Source organism: Homo sapiens, chromosome 9 (genome assembly GCF_000001405.40).
Source record: "Homo sapiens chromosome 9, GRCh38.p14 Primary Assembly".
In the NCBI taxonomy this organism is placed as follows: domain Eukaryota; kingdom Metazoa; phylum Chordata; class Mammalia; order Primates; family Hominidae; genus Homo; species Homo sapiens.
Window position 1 is genome coordinate 87,091,193 of NC_000009.12, and position 2,398 is coordinate 87,093,590.

Consider the following 2,398-nt stretch of genomic DNA (forward strand, 5'->3'; position numbering starts at 1 on the left):
CCCAAATTAATGTCCAACCGAATTTGGACACAAATTAATGTCCAACCAATTTGGACAAAACCAAATGAATATCCTTGAGTCACACAGTTTATTAACTCAATTTAAAACCATTAGTCAGAAGCAAAGGAAAAGAGATGGGTAAGAAGTTAAACCAGTTACACGAAAGGGTGGAAGGACTACACTCTCAGAATCCTCAGCCGTGCAGTATTGATCAGCCCCGTCTCTCTCTTCCTCTTTGCTACCTGAACCTTCCCACTGACAGGCATATGTTAAGGACATAAGAGTGAGGCTTCAGCAATCCCAATGCAAGCCCAGTGAATGAAATGAGCTGCAGCCAACAATACACATTCTATTGCACAGATGCAAACTGTAGCTTGCCTGTGAGCCTGATAAATAGCTTTTGATTTTATCTGCCTTTTTTGGGGAGAGGACAAGTTAGGCCAGAAGAGATGTCACTAATGGGTAGCTGATGTAAGGCCTCATGAATATTGAGTGCCTCTTTGACTCGTGTATATTTAGGGTGTCATGAATATTCAGAGCCTCATATAGCTCATGGATATTTGGTTTCTATTGCCCTATGTATTAGTCTGGGCTCTTCAGAGAGACAGAACCAATAGGATACTGAGATGGGTGGATGGATGAATAGATTAGAGGGATACATGATAGATAGATAGACAGACAGATAGATAGATAGATAGATAGATAGATAGATAGATAGATAGAAAGAGATTTATTAGGGGAATTGGCTCACATGATTGTAGAGGCTAAGAAGTTCAACTCCAAAAGCCTCAGAAGCAGGAAGCCAATGTATAATTTTCAGTCTGATGGGGGAGGCCTGAGAAGCTGAGATGGGGCTGAGGGAGGATGCTGGAGTAAGTCCTGGAGCCCAAAGGCCTGGAGTTCTGATGTTTAAGGACAAGAGAAAGGTGTCTCCACTCCAGGAGAATAAGAAATAATTCATCTTTTCTCTGCCTTTTTGTTCTATCCATGCTCCCAGCCGATTAGATGGCGCCTGCCCACGATGAGAGTGGATCTTCCCTACTCGGTCCACGGACTCACAATCACCTCTGAATACACTTCACAGACACACCCAGAGGAAATGCTATAATACCCCTCTAGGTATCCCTTAATCCAGCCAAGCTAATACCTGAAGTTAACAGCACATGCTACTTCCCTTTGTTTCTTTGTGTAGTGCACATAGACTCTTTTTGTCCACGCATAACACGTCTCCCAGGTTACTAACGTATCTGTATCTAACACATGTCATCAATCTGTATATTCCTCATAAGCTACTTGCCTACACATCTTATGATTTCCATCTATCCCATTTGTTTTCTATAGCAGAACTGAATATTTTCAAATAATACAACAAACACAATACAGCAACATGCACAACTGGTTGAGTGGTGTATTAGGAAAAAAATAGAATTAGTAGTCATTCTTTATTGATGGGAAACATTTCTTTGGACTAACACCCTCTTAATGGCCACACCAAAAACAGGACCCCAGAAATCTAAAACAATAATAATAATAATCTTCTCGTTTGAGTTAATAGCACTGTGCTTTGCTTAGTTGTTTAAGTCCAAAAGCCAGCACTATGTTGATTTCTCACTACCTCATATTCCATCCATCAATAAACCCTGCTGATTCTACCTCTATTTCTCTTTAACATTATCACCCACACTAGTTTAGACCACAGTCGTCTCTTGCCTTGGCAGGGCAGTAACCTACCAACCAGCATCCCTGTGGCCATTCCTGTCTCTCTGCAGCTCACTTTCCACATGGCAAGCTAAGTGGTTTTTAAAATATGGAAATTCATGTGAGTGTCCTCCAACTGCTTCTAGATGAGTGTCAACCAAAGTATGGTCAGTGGAGATGGAAACAACCAAAATGTCTGTAAATTAACAAATGAATAAACAAAATGTGGTATATCCATATCATGGAAGGTTATAGGTTATTTGTCCATAAAAAGGAAGAAAGTTCTGACACATGCTACAACATGGATGAATCTTGACATTAGGCTAAATGAAAAAAGCCAGTCACAAAAGCCCACATATTGTATAATTCCATTTCTACAAAATGCCCAGCACAGGCAAATCAATAGAGACAGAAAGGACATGAGTGATTGCATAGAGCTGGGGAGGGGTGGGTGGCAGCAGGGCAGGGAACTAGCTACAGAGTCAAGGGTTTCTCATTGCAGGGTGAAAATATTCTAAAATTAACTGTGGTGACAATTGCACATATCCATCAATATACTAAAAATAAATTCTACACTTTAAAATGGGTAAATTGTATGGTATGTACATTATTTCTCGATAAAGTTTTTTTGTTTGTTTGTTTCTAAAGTAGTTTGTGAGCAGGCACCATCTAAATCATATGGCAGCTTGGAGAAATGCAA